Source organism: Homo sapiens, chromosome 11 (genome assembly GCF_000001405.40).
Source record: "Homo sapiens chromosome 11, GRCh38.p14 Primary Assembly".
Taxonomy (NCBI): Eukaryota; Metazoa; Chordata; class Mammalia; order Primates; family Hominidae; genus Homo; species Homo sapiens.
In genome coordinates this window covers 43,729,270-43,751,947 of record NC_000011.10, presented here as the reverse complement: position 1 = coordinate 43,751,947, position 22,678 = coordinate 43,729,270, and the positions used below count along the sequence as shown (strand labels likewise).

General features: G+C 38.9%; 1 protein-coding gene and 1 pseudogene across 7 annotated transcripts in view; both read right to left on the bottom strand.

Annotated features, from left to right (window-relative positions):
• The window catches only part of HSD17B12 (hydroxysteroid 17-beta dehydrogenase 12), a 299,895-nt gene that overhangs the window by 104,668 nt on the left and 172,549 nt on the right, over nucleotides 1–22,678 (bottom strand). For all 7 annotated transcript variants that reach the window (XM_024448573.2, XM_047427074.1, XM_024448571.2 and 4 more), the window contains one exon: nucleotides 991–1,037. Coding sequence is in view for 2 of the 7 variants with exons in the window: in NM_016142.3 (NP_057226.1) it covers nucleotides 991–1,037 (47 nt within the window). In the remaining 5 variants the exon portion in view is untranslated. The remainder of the gene's footprint in view (nucleotides 1–990; nucleotides 1,038–22,678) is intronic.
• Nucleotides 17,230–18,256, bottom strand: PHB1P2 (PHB1 pseudogene 2; annotated as a pseudogene).

Sequence of the window (22,678 nt, the reverse complement as noted above, 5' to 3'; positions counted from 1 at the left end):
GCATAAGGGCTGTATGTTATGCAACAGTATTGTGTCACGTTAAACTTCCTATTGTGACCAATGTATTGGGGTTGTAAGGGTGAATGTTTTAGCTCTTAGAAGATTCATCCTGAAATATTTAGGGGTGAACTGTTATGTCTATAACTAACTTACAAATGGTCCAGCGAAATAATTAATAATAATAGTAAAGTAAATTAAATGTGCCAAATATTAACAATTAGTGAATCCAGGTGAAGAGTATACAGGTGTTTGTTATATTCTTGCAACTTTTCTGTAGTTTTGATATTCTTCCAAATAAAAAGCTGGAAAAATTAAAATTAACAAAAAGACCTTTTGAGAATGATAAATAGAAGATCCAGTGAATCTGCTGGGATCTTTATTAGAATCACCCCACTGTTCCAGATCACTTCATCATAGGCTGTAGGTGCCTTCACAGGGACCAGAAGGCAGGGAAACTTGCCTAAAGAATACTGCCCCGGCTCCTGCTTTGTCCAGTGGTCTTCAAACTATGATGCTCTCCTGTTCTTTAATTTCATTGCAGAGAATCTGAACCCTTTGCCTGTGTCTATCAATACCTTTCTGTTAATCACAGTCCTTCTTGTGAAAATGATGTCATGGACTAGCCTAGAAATGTAACCACCTATAATATTTTCATTTTTTGGAAAATAGTTCAAAATAATTGACTTTCAAATCTGAAGACTGTACACACTTACATGACATAAAATAAAATTACACTAAATTGTTCCCAGTTCCAACTACCCAGTACAACCAGAAAGTTTTATACTTATTTTACATGAAATTTGTTTCAAAAAATTGTGTCTGTTTAGGCAAATATGGTATTTCCAACAAGGTAGAAACAAAAAGCATCTATTGTACCATGCAACATTATATTTGTGTTTTTTACTTCAAAAATCAAAACTACTATAAGAAATCATCCCATATTTATTCTTATTTTTTATATTAAAAGGAAAGATCTTGAAAATCACCTACCTCTTCTGCATATGATTTTCCAATTCCATCAGTACTACCTGTGACAACTGGGAAAGGGAAAAAAGCAATAGTTTAGTCTAAGAATTACATTGAGGAATTGGTCATAGTTAGGACCCACCAATTACATACAAAAGGACCAGTGTGACACTTTGATGTAAAAGACAGAACAATACCAGCGGTTCAAATCTAAGGTTGAATACACACCGCAATAGCTAAAATTTTAAAAAGACTTCAAAACCAAGTGTTAAAAAGAATGTGGAGCAACTAGACTCTCACACATTGCTGGTGGCACTGTAAATTGGTACAATTATTTTGGAAAATACTATTTGCCAATATGTTCAGAACTAAAAATATGCCTACCTTAACCCACCAATTCTCAAGAGACAGAAATGCATTAATGTCTACCCCAAAGAATGTTCACAGTAGCTTAGTTGATGCATAGTAGGTAAATACAACTAAATATTAATCGACAGAAGAATAAGTAAATTGAGATATAGACAAACAATGGAATACTAAACAGCAATAAAAGAGAAAACAAAAGAAGCAAAACTAAACAGCAATAAAAAAGAAAATAAAAAAAGAACTACTGATATATGCAAAACATGAATGAATCTCTAAGACATTACAAAAAGTCTGACATAAAAATGTAAGTTTAAGAAAAGGTAAAACTAATCTATGGTGACAGAAGTCAGAATACTGGTTATCTCTGGATAGTGGAGTAGATAACAGGGAAGGGCAATACGGGAATCTTCCAGGATACAGGAAATATTCTGTATCTTTTCAGGGTGGCAGTTACTACTGTGTGTGTGTAGATTCACTGAGCTGTACACTTAAGTACATACTTACTGTATATATCTTCATAAGCTACTTTTTAAAACAAAGGGTAGTAAAAGTAAATAGAAAATGGTCTTAATTATTCTATGAGAAACCATATTTGCCTTACAACCTCAAAAACTTTATGTAGCAGAAACATTGAAATTTATATAGGGCAGGCTATACCATGATATCTTATCTCTGGAATACTAGAATCATGTTACAAGTTCAAAGCACAGATGTCTGCTTCAAAAAGGGATGCCTCCCCAAATTCTCTAAATACGAGTTTTTCCAAAACATTTACAGACTTTGAAAAACAAGTTATGGTGTAAAGTAGGATTTTCTTGTATTCACTTCTTTCCAATTATACAAGATGGTCCCTAATTTTACTATTCAGAAATATGGTAAACACATTCATAGTCTCCCTAGCCATATCTCTCATAATCTTGTAGACTTTCATCATGTTCTTGCTTAGCTGATATCTTTCCAGAATTAAAAAAAAAAAAGAAAAAAAAAGTTGAAATATCCAGAGAACAGTATAACAAACCCCTAGGTACCCATAGCTCAGCTTCACCAATCAACAACTTGAGGTTAACCTTGCTTCATCTAATATTCCCTCCTGCTTCCTCTCACACTGGATTATTTTGAAGTAAAAACATTATTTCACTTCATTCATAACTATTACAGTATGTTTCTGCTATGAAAAATAGCCACAATACCATTATCTCATTCCTAAAATTATAAATAACAATTCCTTGACATCCAATATGTAATCACTATAAATTCTGCCAAATGTTTCAAAAGACTTTTAACAATTGTTCCAATCAGGATTCAAAATGTTCCATAATAAAATTTGTTAATATGTCAATTAACCATGTCTATAACCCCTCTCCCCTTTCTTCCCTTCACCCTCTCAATTTATTGGTTTAAGATATTAGGTCATAGGTTTGTGCTTTCTCAGCCTGTCCTTGATACCATTTAACATGTTCCTCTGTCCCATGGTGGTTGGATATAGATATTGATCAAATTCAGGTTTGATTTTTTTGGTAGGAGTACTTCATAAGGGATAATGCATTTTTACATCAGGAAGCATATGTCTGGTTATCTTTTGTTTTGTTATATTAGCAGCCACTGCTGGTCACCACTGAGATCCATTATTTCATTAGGGGTTGCAAAATGGTCATATTAGAGTTCAATCATTCATCTTCATCTATTAGCTGGAATATTTCCAGAGACAAATTATTCCTCATTAGTTAGTTACCATGATATATAGATTGCATAAGAACACAAGATAAATGTTTGAATTTTTTTTTGCCTTTATTTATCAGTTTTCAAAATAAACTGGTACTCTGGCATCTTCCAAAGGTAACCCATGTGTTTTTGTCACTATTGTCCTGTTTATAGGAAACATTAGTAACTAACAGATTTAAATGTTTGTGGGAGAACCTAATTACAGAAAACTGAGCATCTTATAAAATCTCCTCCAACCTCATGATCAATTCATAACTTTTGTTTTTGTTTTTTTAATTTCAACTTTTATTTTAGATATAGAGGGTACATGTGGAGGTTTGTTACATGGGAATATTGCTTGATGCTGAGGTTGTGGGTATATATCCCACCACACAGGTAGTGAGGATAGTACCTGATAGGTAGTTTTTCAACTCACCCCCTTTCCCTCCACCCTCTAGTAGACCACAGTGTCTACTGTTTGCATATTTATTTCCACGTGTGCTCAGTGTTTAGCTCCCACTTATAAGTAAGAACATGCAGTATTTGGTCTTCTGTTCCTGTGTTAATTTGCTTAAGATTATGGCCTCTAATTTCATCTATGTTGCTGCAAAGGACATGATTTTATTCTTTTTCATGGCTGTGTAGTATTCCATGGTGTATATGCACCACATTTTCTTTACCCAATCTACCATTGATGGGCACCTGGACTAATTCCATGTCTTTGGTATTGTGACTAGAGTAGCAATGAACATAATTTTCTGTAACTTTTCATCTCCCGACTGTTTTTAGAGGCACAGGAATCCAAATTTTATACTGTATTCTTGTTATTGATTCACTAACATTTCATAAGTGATGGATACACATATTCTAATTGTTTCCACTTTTCTCCTCTTCCTTTTCTCTGTGATAAACTTTTCTCCCCTCTCCAAGACCCCAGAACTGTTGGGGACCAGCCTCAACACCACCCGCAGGGTACTCAAAATCCAGTGGCAATGAAGGAATGAGACAGGTTAAGAATGCATAAAGAGTGGGGGCCAGAGAGCCAATTGCAAAATGGAGGCTGCAAAAGGCTCAGAGCTCTGGTCTCCACACTTTTTATTGAGTACAGTCACTTAGATCTAAGAAGCAGACGTTCAGGGCAAAATGGTGAATGGAAGGCAGTCCGTCATGCACATAATCTATAGCAGTGGCGGTTTAAGTGAATCTCCTTTGTGTTCAAACAGCATATCTTTAACTTATCGAAGAGTAGCTGGTGGGAGTAGGCTTAACTAGGAGCCTGCATATCTGTCCACATTCCAACGCTTCAAAGGAGTGTCTTTCTCCTTGAACACAGTGTTTACAGATAAGAGAGCAGCTCTCACTCTGAGCATGGGAACATGATGGCAATTAGGAGGCTTTCCTCCTCAGAGGCCTCTTGTGGCTTTCCAGAACTTATTGTCCCCTATTTTTATGGGCAGTTTATGCAGGCACCCCACAAGCCCTGTTTCCAACACAGAACCTCACCTCCTACCCTCTTCCATCAAAGCCTTATTGAAGATCCACCAACTTCACTGTTCTAGATCACTTTACGTGAAAGAAAACTTCCTCTTTCTAAACTCCCACAACACTTGGCACATCTTTAAGTCTATGGCACTTTACCACTCTATTTTGAATTGTATTTCCTTACATCTACATGTCTTAATTCTTCTGTAAGATTCTAGTCTCCTTGCTAGGCAACATGCACAAGGTAGGTGTTCAGTAGACATTTGGTAAGTGTTTAAATGATGATCGGCATTTAGTTGGTCTAAAAAGTTGCAAAACACGCAAGACTTGGACAGTTTTCCTGACAACCTGGTTTCTCAAAAGTCTTTATTTACAAGTACAGTATCTTACACTTTCCTACACTAACACCTATTAGCCACTGACCTATTTACAAATCCTGTTGGTAACTAGATTATTCTGCATTAAGCCTACAACTGTGGAGCAAGCAAACCACATACAGTCAGCAGCTGCATAACAATGTTTTGGTCAACAAAGGACCACATATACAGCTCTGGTCCCCTAAGATTACAATGGAGCTGGAAAATTCCTATCATCTAGTGACACTGTAGCTGTCATAATGTCATAACGTAATGCATTAATCACGTGTTTGTGGTCATGCTGGTGTAACAAACCTACAACTATGCCAGTAATAGAAAAGTAGAACACATACAATTATATATAACATATAGTGCTCGATAATGATAATAAACAACTATGCTACTGAGTTATGTATTTACTATAATACTATACTTTTTCACATTAGAGTATACTCCTTCTGCTTTACAGGAAAAAAGTTAGCTGTAAAACAGCCTCAGGCAGGTCCTTCAGGAGATACTCCAGAAGAAAGCACTGTTATCATAGGAGATGGCAGCTCTATGTGTGTGATTGAGTCTGAAGACCTTCCAATGGGACAAAATGTGGAGGTAAAAGACACTGATATTGAGGATCCTGACCTGGTGTAGGCCCAGGCCAGTGTGTATGTTTTATATCTCTGTTTTTAACAAAAAAAAGCTTAAAAAGTAAAAAATAAAATTTCAAAAATTAAAAATGGAATAAGGATATAAAGAAGATATTTTTGTACAGTATACAATGTGTTTCTTTTTTAAGCTAAGTGTTATTACAGAAGTCCAAAAGATAAGCAAGATAAATTTATAAAGTAAAAGGGTTACAGTAAGCTAGTTATTAAAGAAAAAATTTTTAAATAAATTCAGTATAGCCCAAGTATTAAACGTTTATAAAGTCTACAGTAATATCCTAGGCCTTCACATTCACTCACCACTCACTCACTCACTTACCCAGAAAAACTCCAGTCCTGCAGGTTCCATTCACAGTAAGCGTCCTAGACAGATGTGCCATTTTTAATCTTTTGTTTGTTTATTTTTAAGAGTCAGGGTCTTGCTCTGTCACCCAGGCTAGAGTGCAATGGTGTGATCATAGCTCACTACAGCCTCTCACTCTTGGGCTCAAGTGATCCTCTTGTCTTAGCCCCCCGTGTAGCTACAGGCACATGCTACCATACCTGACCAACCTTTTTTTTTCCTGTAGAGACCAGGTCTTGCTATGTTGAACTCATAACCTCAAGCAATGCTCCCACCTCGGCCTTCCAAAAGCTGGGATTACAGGCATAAGACACCATCCTTGGCCCTTTTTAATCTTTTGTACCATATTTTTACTGTACTTTTTCTATGTTTGGATATATTTAGATACACAAATACCACTGTGTTACAACTGCCTATAGTATTCAGTATAGTAACATGCTATTATATACAGGTTTGTAGCCTAGGAGCTTTAGGCCATACCATATAACCTAGGTATGAACAGTAGGTTAAACCATCTAGATTTGTAGAAGTACAGGCTGTTGATGTTTGTACAACAACAAATGTGTTGTCTAGCAACACATTTCTCAGAATGTATCCCCACCATTAAATGACATATGACTATATATATGATTACAGCAATGAATTGATGGCAGTATCACTAGATTTCTCAGATTAAGGGCTCAGAAATCTCTTAATGAAAATATGCTGAAGAATGAAACTACATAAAGTCACTCAGTACTGTGCATCTAAACATTTGACTGGAATCTCTTTCAAAAGAATACAGATAACTGTTGCATGTGCGTATCCATGTTTAAAATTGCCAACTTTGGGCTGATCTAAAAACCAGCATACCATAAAACTAAAAACAGTCTTAGAAAGGCCAGAATATGCCAGGTCTAGAGATTCTGAAATCTGCCTCATGTATATTGTCTTCCTTTTCCTGATTCTCCAGTTGTTGGAGTTTGTAATGGATACTGTTAGTGCACCAGCCAGATCCTCCCTTCCGGCAAAGAGGTACTCAATCAATCCTTTCTTGCCAGGAGTGTTACCTGCTGCCAGCTCAGGACTGAGTCTCTCCCAGTAACTGCTCTCAGCCAAAGGCGGGCTGCCTTGCTCCCCTGGGCAGTACATGTCTAATGGCGAGGCCACACTCAGGGACAAAGGTTGGGCTCCCTTACCTCATTTAGGCATCTCTCTAGAGCCATCCTATGTTCAGGGCCAATGGTATCAGCTACAACCTTTGCTATACCTGCATCATAGTTCAATTTCTCCCTCTGCTCAATTCTGCTTCTTTTGCTTCCTCACAGGTGTTATTCCTGAGAACATTCCTGAATACACCTCACATACACATGAACCAATATTGATACAATTAATGAAAGTCCATATCTTATTCAGATTTCCTTACTTGTTACTGAATGTCCTTTTTCTGATCTAGGATCCCATCCAGGATATCCAGGATATACCACATTTAGTCATCATGTCTCCTTATATGACAGTTTAAAAGACAACATTTTTTAAATTGTGTATATCTTTTTGTAAAAAGTCTATTTTCTAACCACACATATAATAGCTTAACTGGGTATAGAATTCTAAGTAGGAAATCATTTTTAACAAAAAAATTTTAGACAACTCTCCGTTGTCTTCTAACGCAAGTATCATTTTAAAATGTTTCACCATTCTTACTTCCCACCATTTCTATGTAACCTGCTTTTTTTTTTATCATTGGGGCTTTTACAATTATCACTTAGTCTGTAGAACTCCATCATGAAAATGCACCCAAATGAGTGGGTGTTTTTCCACTCACTGGTGCTAGGCATTGGTGGGTCTTAAAATTCATGATCTTCAGTTCTGAAAAGTTTCTTATGTTAATTGTTTAATAATATCTGCCTCACATTTTTCTCTTCCTAGAATCCCTATAAATTGGAATTTGGACTTAACAGTTTCTCTATTAATCTTACTTTTCTTTTTGCTCTACTTTCCTATAAATTTCTTCAACTTTATCTTCCAAACCATCTATGTACTTTTTAAATGTAGGTTGTCAATTTTGCTACTTTGAAGAATCTTCCATATTCCGACTGCCCTTTTGCACACTCTCACTCTCCTTCTCGCTTTTAACAGCATCTTGTTCTTATTATAGATCCATTATCTAATCTCTGAGGATATTAATTATAGTTTGTTTACACATTTACATTTTCTTCTACTCTTTATATTTTGTTCCTCTAAGTTCCTTCTTGATTGTTTTGGTCACTCTCATCTTGGCTGCATTAAAATATCGATTAGAGTTCATAGGTGAGGTGATTACACTGTGACCCTCAATACAATGCAATCAACGGGCCAATCAGCTTTGTCATTGGGGAATCCACAAAAGTCAGTATCTGTCTCTTCTGTGGGGCCCTTCAGTGTCTCTTAAAAAGCATTCCCTAATTTCCAGTCTTCTGGCTGCTGGGCAGTTATTAGTTTGCAGGTGTTTTACTCATCCTCTGTTCTCAGTCAGGTGTCTCATCTTAGGGCTTCTGCTGCTTAATTTCCCTGAGTCTCAAGCACATCTGCCCCACCCCTGTCTTTTGAGATACCTGATACTTCCAATTCCTGTGCTGTTCTGGGATCCAAGGGACAAAACTTGCTTGTTTCCCAATGGTGGCCCCACTATGAGGACTCAGGTGTCTGCTCTGGAAGTCAGTTACCACTCCACCACCTTCAATAGCTGTGACTGGGGATGAGGGATGACAGAAGTTCCCTAGTTGCATCAAAATGGAGCTTTCCATTTCTTATTCTTCCAGCCTTTAGAGAACATTTCCAAGAGATGAAAGGTCAAAAGTATTGCTACTTCATCATTTTAAAACTAGAAGCACCCAAGGTTCCTCTTAAGCATATTATACCAAAGTACACTAACTTTAGTTGAGAATGATACTAAACATACTTAGAAAGATTTATGCCCAGCAAGAACATTTTTTCCTATCTCCTGCTAGCAACTATCAAATTTAAGTGAAACTAACAGTCTTCAGAAACTATTATGTGTATGACTATCGAGAATACAATGGTCCACATTCGATATTAGATATTCTATAAATTACCCATTTCATGGTTAGGACTTTAAATATAAGCAGAAACAATATGACTTTACATTGTACAAATATTAAAAATTTAACCTCTGATATTTCAGGTAAAAATATCATTTTTCCATTTTCTCATACTTCTCAAAACCAAATCCAACACTGCCCAGTTACATGTAAGTCAAATATTACCTCACAAGTAAATATTTTTTCTGAGAAAACAGAGAAGTGTAAAAATTATTTATGGGCACAAAAAAAAAACACACACACAAAAAAACTGGAAATCCTGGGCCTCTCTTAGCCATCTCTATAGCACCACTGTAGTTCTACAATAATTAGTGTTATACACAGTGGTCAGGCAATGGGAGACCAAGTATCATTTCCCCAGCAAAGGAAATGACAAAGCCTTTAGATCTACAAGTTACATGATGGGTAATGTATTATATTTGCAATAACATACAAACATACCCAAGTTTAAGTCAATTATGAAAGAAAAAGTCCTACTCAACAAACATGGAAAAAATTCAAATTTGTTTATTTAAGACAGTGGGAATAAGGGTTGTCCTGCTTTTGGTTTTAAAGGTATTTTCATGGGGCACAGTGGCTCATCCCAATACTTTGGGAGGCTGAGGTGGGAAGAATGCTTGAGCTCAGGAGTTCAAGACCAGCCTGGGCAACATAGCGAGACCCCAATCCTACAAAAAAAAACTCAAGAAAATTAGCCAATGTGGTAGCACACACCTATAGTCCCACCTACTCGGGAAGCTGAGGCAGGAGGATCCTCTGAGCTCAGGAAGTTGAGGATGAAGTGAGTTATGATTGCGGCACTGTACTCCAACCTGGGTGACAGAGTGAGATCCTGTCTCAATTTAAAAAAAAAAATATATATATATATATATATATATATATTTCCTTTGCCTTAAAGCTATATGTCTTCCAACAGTAGTAGCAGAGATAGCAGCTGTAGTTGGATAGAAAATCCCTCAGTTGCCGGGCGCGGTGGCTCACGCCTGTAATCCCAGCACTTTGGGAGGCCGAGGCAGGCAGATCATGAGGTCAGGAGATCAAGACCATCCTGGCTAACGTGGTGAAACCCTGTCTCTACTAAAAACACAAAAAAATTAGCCAGGCGTGGTGGCAGGCGCCTGTAGTCCCAGCTGCTTGGGAGGCTGAGGCAGGAGGATGGAGTGAACCCAAGAGGGGGAGGTTGCAGTGAGCCGAGGTCGCGCCACTGCATTCCAGCCTGGGCGACAAAGCGAGACCCCGTCTCAAAAAAAAAAAAAAAAAGAAAAAGAAAAAGAAAATCCCTCAGTTAAGTTCAATAATTTTTTATTTTTATAAAATAATAGTGTGATTTTCACTATTTTAAAATTAAACTATATTGTCTGGGGAGTCAATTCTTCATCATAAATTTTAGAAAGGTAAACCAAAGTATAACATCTCAAATCAAAAGTCTATTGATAGTTGCTTCTGGGGGATTAGGGAAAGATGGGAAAGAGATTACTTTTTATCATTATTTTAACTCTTTGCATTTTTTAACCATGTGCATGTACTGCATTTTTTTTTAAAGTCCTTTGCTACTATGAATAGAAAAATGGTGTAAACTGAGCCAGCAAACTCATCTACTCCAATTTTCCAAAATCAGGGTAGTCTTGTTTAAATCAGTGTTTCTCAAGGTCACTTAAGTTTTCTTAAAACTGAAATTTTTTCTTAACTAAAATTTAATAGAAAACTTGATTACTTGATTACTGTTTAATTGCTTCTTATAAAGGACCATCAGTTTCAATTAACATAGACTATTAGTGTAAAAAACATATGAATGTCAAAATTTAAAAATATTAATCAATGTGGTACCTAAGATAATCTCTTGGTTGATCTTTGGAAAACACTGATCTAAACACTCCCACCCTTATAATACCAATTTTCAATGAAAACCAAATAAAACAAAGACCAGCTTCCAAGTCATCCAAATCAGAAGTACTGCTTGTTTTTTGTGGTTTCTTAAAATGAAAAAAACGAAGCATTCACAGCAACACTGAAATGATAAGATACAATGTGCAAAAACTACCCTGGGGAGGCCATCCTTCATGTGTTAAATGCACATCTGGGCCAGAGCCTGCTGGTTGCCTTCCTTAATACCCATTCTTCCCTTCTTCCTTTGCAGGAGAATACTGATTTTTAACCCAGCATATTGTGGCCTGGAATAAGGACTTATATTCCAACCTCCCTACCAGCTAGCAGTGGCCATATGATTAATTTCAGGGAACAACATGAAGCAAGGTTGTGAAGGACTTTGAAAAAGGCTGCTTAATGGAAGCTGACTTGGCAGAGACAGGCCCCTTTTGCCCTTCATCTAGTCAATTCTAAAGTGATGGCTGTAGCTGCAGTAGTCTCTTGAACCATGAAGTAATCTTAGGGTTGAAGCCATGGGCTAAGATAATGGAACAGTATCATAGGAATCAAGGTCCCTGATAACACCACTGAATTACCACGCCATTTTAAAATCCCAATCATTTCTTCTTTTACTGTTTATCATAAGGAATCAAACATATACAAAAGTTCTAGTCTTTAAAGTGGGTGAAAAATAAACTTGTCTTATTAAAGCAACTATGATAGGCCCGGAAAAGTAAGCGTAAACGGTCAATAAAATAAATTATGAAAACAAAATAATATTCACATCATTATAAGAATATTTGCTCAAGGTATGTCACTGATATCATCCAGGTAATTCTCACAACTACTACCCCAATCTACGCTATCATCCCAAACACAAGGACTTGTACGAGGAATCTTTCATCCCTCCTCACTCAATTCATGCTATACACAGTTAAAAATTATCTTTCTCAAACACCATTTTTTCTCTGCCAAGAAGTTACATTTCCCTTTTGCCAACTATATAAAAACTGAAACACAAATTCATTCACTTCTTCCCATTGCTACCACCTAGAGCTACCATCATTCATCTCCCACAAGAACTACTGTTAACAGCCTTCTAACGCATTCGCCTGGTCCCGTTCTTACTCCTCTCCAATTCAATCTCTACATTGTAGCCAAAACAATCACTCCAAAGTGCAAATCTGAACTTCACTTCCCTGCCTAAAACCTGTCACTGGCTTCTCACTCCCCTCATTCTTTACAAGGTCTTCCATGAGCTGACCTTACTCCTACCACTTTCCTCCTTCCACTCAAGCATGCCCCAGTTGTGCTGAAATTTTTACAGTTCCTCCAAGGTAACATGCTTTCTCTTCGAAAATGTTCTCTACACCTCCAACGTACACTCTGCTATGGTTTTAATGTGTCCCTTCCAAGAGTCAGGTGTTAAACTTAATGGCCAATGTGACAGTAGTAAGAAGTGGAGACATTAAGAGGTGATTAGGCCATGAAGTCTCCTCCCTCATGAGTGGAATTAAGGCCCTTATAAAAGAATCTTCATGAAGTGTTCCTTCAGCCAACTTTCTGCCTTCTGCTCTGTGAGGACACAGCATTCGAAGGATGCAGCAACAGGGTGCCATCCTGGAAACACACAGTATCCCTTTCCAGACAACTGAACTTACCAGCACCTTGATCTTGGACTTCCTGGCATGCAAAACTGTGAGAAAATACATTTCTGTTCTTTATGTATTTTATTATAGCAGCACAAATGAACTAAGACACACTTCTAGCTGTGTTTCCCTCCCATCCTTGAGGTTTTTCAGTTAAACCGTCTCATCTCCCATTAAGCCTTCCTTGACCTGTAGACTAACTTAGAACCTCATACAGAATTCTCTGCCCCATAGTACTCCGAACTCCCCCTTTGTGAAAGCTGATCATGCCAGTTGGGTCACTCTTGTCACACCCGACTGAAACAGAGACAAGAAGCCAGGGGGAAAAGCCCTTAGGGTACAAAACATTGCTCCAAGAATGTAATTCTCTGCAAGCTTGACTGCTGAAACTGCTCGTTGTAACCTGACACCAGTTTTATCTATGTTTGCTGCAACTCTGGAACTAATTTTGTCCACAGCAGTTGCTCACCAATCAGGACTTGCCAGTTCCCCAAACCCTTACCCAAAGCCAGTGAACTTTCTCAAAGAGCAATAGGTAACATTTCTTCTTTTTATAAAACCTCTAGTTTTTTTCTTTTTGTTTTGGAGAGTGCTTTCGGTTCATGCTGGAGACTCTCTGTTTTGCAAACTGATATTGCCAATAAAACTCTCTTTCCTACTATCTAGCCATGCTGGTCGTCCTTTGGACAATATCATCATGACATTCATCACACAGGATTCTGTAAGAGCAGGGTCTGTCTGGATCATCACAGTCTAACTGCTAGCACAGAACCTGGCAAAAAGCAGGTGATTAATGAGGTTTTACTGTATGAATGGATGAGTGAATGAATGGAGATTATAAAAGGAAAACTAACCTTTTATGACCCTACCCACTGCTTTTTCCACACCTTATTTAGAAATAATTACACAACCCCTACACTCTTCAGCCTCCTCTCAACGTCAAGAATCATCTAAAAGTGAGATTTTCAAGAACTTTAACAGAGAGAAGTTTAACTTTATGATAAACCTGTAGATTTGCACTTTCAAAGAATTCTGAGGCTGTCCTTGAAAGGTGATGATTTCCGGGGAACAACACACACTGGGACCTGTTGGAGGGGGTGGGGGTTGGGGGAGGGAAAGTATCAGGAAGAATAGCTAATGGACTCTGGGCTTAATACCTAGGTGATGAGATGACCTGTGCAGCAAACCACCATAGCACATGTTTACCTCTGTAACAAACCTGCACATCCTGCACATGGACCCCTGAACTTAAAAGTCAAAGAAAAAAAAGAGACAAGTGATGATTTTCAGTGCTAGAGAGAACTACTTCACTCATAATGTGCCAGTGAAACATGCTAAAACATGTTTTACCAAAACATGCTTTACCAAACATGCTAAATTACCAAAGTAGTGAGAGTTCACTATTTTTTTTTTTTTTTTTTTTGGGACAGAGTCTGGCTCTGTCGCCCAGGCAATCTCCGCTCACTGCAAGCTCCGCCTGCCGGGTTCACATCATTCTCCTGCCTCAGCCTCCCGAGTAGCTGGGACTACAGGCGCCCGCCACCATGCCTGGCTAATTTTTTGTATTTTTAGTAGAGATGAGGTTTCACCGTGTTAGCCAGGATGGTCTCGATCTCCTGACCTCGTGATCCACCTGCCTCGGCCTCCCAAAGTGCTGGGATTACAGGCGTGAGCCACTGCGCCTGGCCGGACAGTTCACTATTCTTGTCTCTAAGATTTGCTTCTTCATTTAACACTGGTGTCCTCAGATTCCACTTTGCTATGAAATACGTGGATAAGTTAGGGTAGCTTTTAACAATACACAGAAAAAAGCTATATGGTATCACCCAGAACCCTGTGGGTTGGGACAGTACAGATGATGGTCATGGGTGGCACTATAAGGTAGAGGAAGAAAAGAAGGAAAGTGGAAAAAGGAAGATTTTTTAAAAAGGCTTATGTCTTCATACACAAATATAACACTAGAACCCAAATTTACAAGCCTTTGAGAAGATGGAAACTGACAACTATAAAGAATAGCCCAACTTGGCATCCAGAAGTGTCTAGCTTGCTACAGATTATATAAAATACTGGCAACTGACCAGGGCTCCACTTCCAGATTTTATACAGTCAACAAAAATACTTTAGTTTGTGTAGGTTAAAAATATTCTACTCTTTTTGTCCTCAACTTGCTAGGAACAGATATTTTTAGTAAGAACCCAATCAACCTTATCAAAATCAAACATCAAAAATAGACTAGAGCAACACTGGAAGCAAACTCACTATTTTTAGCTCTTCTGTCTATTCCCTGCCACTACCCACAAAATTCTGACTGTAAAGTCCATGCCTAAGAGCTTAGTTATTCCAAACAGGTTCCTTCTTGTGACTCTTTTTTCCCCCCGAACACCTGAATGCAGAAAACACTCGATTGATTAAAGATTAATACTGCCGCAAACCATGACAGCTGCCTTTCCTCTGAGGGCTTTGGGAGGAGGGTGGTAGGAATAGAAAATGATAGAGAGCTTGCATCAGTATTCCTCTTGGGAATCTATTACATGGAAAGAAAATTGCTATTTCAATTCCCTTTTGTTGCTAAAAATAGCAGTCTCAACTGATTCAGGCAAACAGTGTAGGGGCTTAGCAGTGCTGAATTTAGAAACCACAGAAGTCCCTGAGAGCAAATGCTAACGTAGTCTTAACACACGCCAGCTCATATTTAACAAAGAACAAAGAAGAGAAGCATGCAGGGTGCAAGTTAATAAAACAGCAGCAACTTCCTCCATTTTTATTAAAGACAAACAGTGAAAGTGATGCAATATAAGACCACTCTAACTTGTTCTCCTAATCATATTATAAAAATAATTTTACAGAAAAATATTAGTTTATGCATACACCCAGATATTGTGGGCATTTTCCACAATCCCATGGTATGAGGAAGCACACATCTTTCTTCAAGAACAGTAGATTATTATAGAAAGAAAATGCCCAGTTTACAAATGTCCTGTCCCAATACAGAGTCCCCTTTTTCCCACTCAGTCCTTTCAGGTTCCCCACTGAGCAGCCCTCTCTTCGACTCTTTACTCCCCTTCTTTTGACCCAACCAGACACTGCAGACTGTTCTACTTGTCACTTAAAAAACTGGCAAACCCAAACAACAACAATAACAAAAATTCAAAGCATCTATAGGTCCAGAACAGAAAAACGAAAACAAAAAAAAAACTGTGAAAAGCAGATTTGCTTAAAGGCAGTTACTCCCCTGGGCCGACTTCCAGGCAAGGCCCTGCGATTCCTTCTGGTGGCACCATAACCCAAAAATGCCTTCTGCCTGATTTTTTCACTTTATTTGGTTAACTAAAAACCCTTCCAAATAATGATTCATTTTGGTTAATGCCACATCCTCTTTAAAAATGCAAACCCATGTATAAGAATTAAAAGGCTATCAATCTTTATGCCTCAGTGTGATCTGATTCAAACTACTTTGTGGCTTCCTTTGGGAATACCCAAAATGTGGGAGTAACACGGAAGGGGCCTCATGAAAATAGGAATTCTCATGCTGTTCTCGTGACAGTGAGTGGGTTATCAGGAGGTCTGATGGTTTAAAAGCGTGTGGCAGTTCCCCCTCGATCTCTCTCTCCTGCCACCAGGTAAGACATGCCTTGCTTCCCCTTCATCTTCCACCATGATTGTAAGTTTCCTGAGGCCTCCCCAGCCATGCAGAACTGTGAGTCAATTAAACCTCTTTTCTTTATAAATGACAGAGTCTCAGGTAGTTCTTTACAGCAGTGTGAAAACATACTAATACAACAACCCACACATAGAATGAGAGAAAACATTTGCAAATCATCTATATAATAAAGGTTTATTATCTAGAATATATAAAGAATTTGTACAACTCAGTAACAAAATGATGATCCAATTTTAAAATTGGGCAAAGGACTTGAATAGACATTTATCCAAAGAGGATATACAAATGGCCAACAGGCATAAGAAAAAAGCTCAACATTATTAGAGAAATGAAAATCAAAACTACAGTGACACACTAGGTTGACCGTAATTTTTTAAAATGTAAATTAAGTGTTGGTGAGGATGTGGGGAAATTAAAGCCCTTGTACATTGCTAGTAGAACTATAAAATGGTGCAGCCACTGAAGGAAACAGGTTGGGAGTTCCTCAAAAAGATCAACAGAAATACCATATGACCTGGCAATTCCACTCCTAGGTATATAGCCCCCAAAACTGAAAACCTGTATTCAAACAGAAACTTGTATATGAATGTTCCTAACAGCACCACTGCCAATAGCCAAAAGGTAGAAACAACTCAAATGTCCAACAAATGATGGCTGAATAAACAAAGTGTAGTATATACATACAATGGAATATTATTCAGCCACAAAAAGGGATTAAGTACTGATACATGCTACAATGTGGATGAACCTTATATATGAACATCATGCTTAATGAAAGAAGCCAGACACAAAATGTATTCTATTTACACGAAACATCCAGAATAAATAGGTAAGTCCATAGAGGAAGAAAGCAGATTAGTGGTTGCCAGGGACTGTGGATGGGAGGATAGAGAGGGACTGCTTAGTGGGTATGGTGTTTCCTTTTGGGGTGGTAGAAATACCTTGAAACTAGATAGAGGTGAAAGTTGCACAGCAGTGTGAATGTACTAAAGCCCCCTGAATCGTACACTGTGAATTCGTTAATGGTTAATTTTATGTAATGAGAATTTTACTTGAATTTCTTTTAACCCTGCCCCCCCATTTTTTGGGGGGATGGGGTTTCTGAAGTGATTTTACCTTTATTTCCTTCACTTTTTAAGCCAATCATGAAATTTCACAGTGATTTCTGGGGTGGGGGCAGAAGGAAGGCGGTGTTAAGAATCATCGGGGCTGTGGCCAGTTGGCCCGTGAAGATGCAGGCAGGGTGGGCCCTCACTGGGGCAGCTGGAGGGGCACGGACTGCCCTGCTGGCAGGTAGGTGATATTCCGAGAGCGAGAGCTGGTATGCAATGTCCTCCACGACTTCCAGCTTACACAGCTCGATCAGGCTGTCCCCTGCGGTGGCCAGTGAGTTGGTGATCAGCTCGGCTGCCTTAGAGTCACCCTCAGCAGAGATGATGGCCGCCTTTTTCCTCTGCTCAGCCTTTTCCACCACAGATCTGGCCCTCTCTGCTTCCTGCTGAGCCACCTTTTTGGCTTCCACGGCTTCTGTGAACTCCTTCCTGAAAGTCAGATGTGTCAAGGACACGTAGTCCAGGATGAACCCAAAGGTGGCTGCTCGCTCCGTAAGGTCGTCGCTCACCTGCCTGGAGACCAGCTCTCTCTGGGTGATTAGTTCTCCAGCATCAAAGCGTGCCACCACTGACTTGATTTGGTAGTGATGGACGGCAGCACACGCTCATCATAGTCCTCTCCGATGCTGGTGAAGATATGAGGAAGTTGGCTAGCGATAGGCCGGAAGAGGATCCGCCGTGTGATATTGACAATCTATAAATCTTTGCTACCAGTGATGACTGGAGCATTACGTGGTCGAGAACAGCAAAGATAATTGGTTTCTGTACCCATGGGATGAGAAAGTGAGTCCCTTCCCCTACTACAATGTCCTGTACTCCATGGAATTGGTCAAAGATCGCAGCTCTGTGCCCAGCATCCACATTATATAAGGCAGAGTTTACCACACCTCCTGCAACGGCTAAGACCAGGCCAAACTTGCCAATGGACTCAAACACTTTGGCAGCCAAGTTTTCTTCTGCTGGGCCCTCTCACACCTTCTTCCACTCTGACCTCCACATGAATTCCCCCTAAACCCCTTTTTTTAAAAGTTACTAAAGATTAGCTTTTTACCAAGGGCTAGATCAGGAAAGGGACAGAAATTGCTATTTTTCTTGGTGTATCATTCCTTGAATTTGGGAAGTAAAACTATTCAATGTATCACTCAATTTACACTACAGAATACAGAGAATCCTAAGTTCGGACTGCTCCTATGGGTGGAACAGCCTTTTAAAATTTAAATCTAAATGTATCAAGTGCCTAACATGTGCCAAACACAGTAGCAGATACTTTACAGACAATGTCTGTTTTAACAGATCCCAACACTCTATAAGGTACAATCAGTAGTTCCCCAAACAACCCTAGGAGGGTGGTAGATAATAAGACCTGATTAAAGCATCTAATTTAACAGAAGAAGTGACAATCTCAGAGAGGTTAAATGACTTGTCACTCATCACATCATAATCTGATCGCCACAACATAAACCCAACGATACAATACAATATTGCTTTATAAACTAGGAACTACCTATAACAGACGCATTCAGCAATAATGCACTGTGCACACACAAATACTCCAAAGAGTGGATTCCTCATTAATCTGATAATGCTGAATCCAACTTTATTTTTCATTACCTTTAACCAACGTTTTAACTTCAAACAGTCCACCTGGTATTTCCCAAATACAACATGCCAGGGAATCAGTTTCATATTGTGCCCAAGTCACTCTTCACCACTGAGAATGACATTTTTCTTTATTCCTCATTCCCATCAGCCACTTTTTAAACAACCTGAGGCTAGGCATTGTGGCTCACATCTGTAATTCCAGCACTTTGAGAAGCCAAGGCAAGACGATTGCCTGAGCCAGGAGGCTGAGGTTGCAGTGAACCATGATCATGTCATTGCACTTCAGCCTGGGCAACAGAGACTGTCAATTAATTAATTAGTTAATTAATAACGTGAACTTCAACTGGGCACAGTGGCTCACATCTATAATTCCAAGCACTTTGAGAAGCCAACGCAGAAGGATCACTTGAGACCAGGAGTTCGAGACCAGCCTGGGCAACAGCAAGACCCTGTCTCTACAAAAAATAAAAAAGGTTAGCCAAGCATGCTGGCACCTGCCTGTAGTCCCAGCTACTCGAGAGGCTGAGGAAGGAGGATTCCTTGGGCCTAAGAGTTAAGAGGCAGCAGTGAGTTATGACTGGGCCACAACACTTCATCCTGGATGACAGAGGCCCTGTCTCTAAAAAAAAAAAAAGATCCACCGCTGACTGCAACCAATAGCCTAACTGCTGCCCCTTCCTTTTGCAGTTTCAACAAAACAACTAACCAGCAGCATTTCTTCCTGATAAGAGACCAACCATGGAGTGTGTATAGTCCACTCTCACGCTGCTGATAAAGACATACCCAAGACTGGGTAATTTATAAAGGAAAGAGATTTCATTGACTCATAGTTCAGCATGGCTGGGGAGGCCTCAGGAAATTTACAATCATGGCAGAAAGGGACGCAAACACATCCTTCTTCACATGGTGGCAGCAAGGAGAAGTACAGACTAAGGGCAGAGGAGAGCCCCTTATAAAACCATCAGATCTCATGAGAACTCACTATCAGGAGAACAGCATGGAGGTAACCACCCCAAGATTCAATTACCTCCCACCAGGTCCCTCCTACCACATTAAGGAGATTATGGGAACTACAATTCAAGATGAGACTTAGGTCAGGGGGGACACAGCCAAACCATATAGAGTGGTTCTGGCCAGTCTACAGAGGAAGCACAGTAAAGGTTTTTGTGTGCTCTGCTTCATCTTTTGATGTCAGAAGATCGAAAACTCCACCCCGAGATCATGCTAATGCTGCCATTTTTTGGACACGGGTTCCATGCCATGGAAAGGTCTGAAGCTCAATTGCACATGTGTACATTTTCTCCTTCCATGAATATTCATGATGCCTCCTAGAGCTTACTGAACATATATATTTGGCCACCCTGCCCAGCATAAATTCCTGTTCCCTTTGCCCCTCCCTGGAAGTATCTGTTTCCAAATTCTGGTGGGAGGCTTTGCTTCCCAGCTTGTCAGGATGACCAACCTGCAGGCTGCAACCCTTTATGAGAAATAAAGCTCTCCTTTCGAAATTTATGACCCTTTTTGTTCTTCAGTCAACATGATTACATTAAACATCTCCTTAGTTATAAACAGTATGCAAACACACCAGTAGGACAATCGTTGTCTACTACACAAGTGCCCTTGAAATACTGTATATAACTCAGGTCTAATAAAAGTGAAAGAGGTGTAATGAGATCTACCTGGTATAATTCCACTAGCTAACTTATCTTCAGTGGTCCACATTTATATCCACCCAGATAAACATAAGGGAAGGTCTAATGTAGATTATTTGACTTATTTCAACCTAATTCATCCAGTTTAAGATTTTAGGCTGGGCGCAGTGGCTCACGCCTGTAATCCCAGCACTTTGGGAGGCCGAGGCGGGCAGATCACCTGAGGTCAGGAGTTCAAGACCAGCCTGGTCAACATGGTGAAACCCCGTCTCAACTAAAAATACAAATATCAGCTGGGCGGGGTGGTGTGCACCTGTAATCTCAGCTACTTGGGAGGCTGAGGCAGGAGAATCGCTTGAACCCGGGAGGCAGAGGTTGCAGTGAACCAAGATCGTGCCACTGTACTCCAGCCTGGGTGACAGAGTGAAACTCTGTCTCGAAAAAAAAAAATTTAATAATATTCTTCATATAAGAAGTGGGCAAATTCTCCAAAAACAGAGACCCTGGATTTTATTCACTCTGTCTCACCTCACTAAGAGATTTAGAAATGAGATTTAGAAAGCTATTCTCCTTTTAAGCCACCATGCTTATCACACTAACACTACAATAAAGTCCTATGTTTGGGCCAGAGTCTCCTGGTGAATAACTACCTTTTCTTTAAGGATTAAATATATCTTAAAGGCATGTGTTTAAGCATACTGATGCTGAGGCCCAGCACACCCCTAGGTACTTTACACCTAGGAGAAATCAAGTAAATCTACTTGTCATGCCTGACTCACTCAGGCCTAGTCAAGAACTTCAAAACAGCCTCACCAAAAGATAGTTTAATAAACAGTTTATATATCTTGAAGACTGAAATAAATAATGGTAGTATCAACAACAAATGTGAGAAAAGAAAGGAAGAATGCTCATTTATTCTCAACTAATTTTTTTTTCTCATCCCTGAGAAGTCAAAACCATGGAAGCTCAACACAATTCCTTCTTGTTATACAACATCCTGCTGGATCCTCTTTCTACTTTTTGGTAAACCCCCAGACTGCCAATAAAATTATGTTAAACAACTTAACAACTAACAGACTTTTCAAAATGAACACTCAGTGAAATTCACTTCCAGATAAATCTTTTTAAAGGGGCTTCATATAATCCAGCACAATATTTCTCAGTTACAGAGATTATACTCTACATACAATAGTGGTGGATTGACCAATAGTCAGAAAACCTATTTTCTGGTCCTGGTTCTGCTAGCTAAATCAACCTGGACCAGTGGTTAATATTTCTGAGCCTTAGTTTCAGCATCTTTACAATGTAGTTGCAAACTAAATGAACACCCAAGACCCTATGAGTCCATGACTATGATGAATATAAAATCAAAGTAATGACTTCTCTTATCTTTATTAAAAAAAAAACACACACACATCCACAAGTTTTAAAAACAGTATGTCAAGTCAGAGCTGTGATTTAAAACAATAAACCTACAGCTAGCTCATCTTCAACAATTTAAAATAGAAAGAACATGAATAACTGAATTAAAAGAAAAATGTTTTGATTATTTTTACCTTCTCTCCCACAGACCTTTAACAAGAAAAGAGGAAAACTTGAGGCTAGTCTCTATGACTTTTATTTCTTCTGTGAACCTTTAGGTGGAAGTGTTAAAGACTGATGAAATAACTTTCTGTTTATCATTTGAAGTTTGTTTCATTCAACTTCTTAGATAAGCTACCCTTTCAGATGCAGCGGATAGGCAGCAGGTACAGCATGACTGTGAGCTTCATGGAATCAAAGAAAGCATACTTTCCTCCCTTCAAGAAGCTACCTCTCACAAATAGAACTTTTAATACAAGTCTGATTTAAGCGTCCTCTTATGCACTTTTCAGTGATTTCATTTATTTACTTACATGGCTTTTTATTCTACAAACATACCATAGAAATTTCCTGGTCTCCAGCAAAAGTTTCAAATGTAAATTACTTAACGAAGTTTACTGTCTGGACTAGAGCTCAAAGAGAGAAAAAACAACTTCTCTGATGCCTGAAGTTATAGTTGTGCTGTTACAGACCTACTCACCTACTTTGCAATTAATTAATTTAAAAATTAATACTATCTGCTATTTAACATTTTGAAAACACCTTCAATCCCTTCACAAGATTAGGACACTACTAAACATATAAACTTGGTATTTTATTAA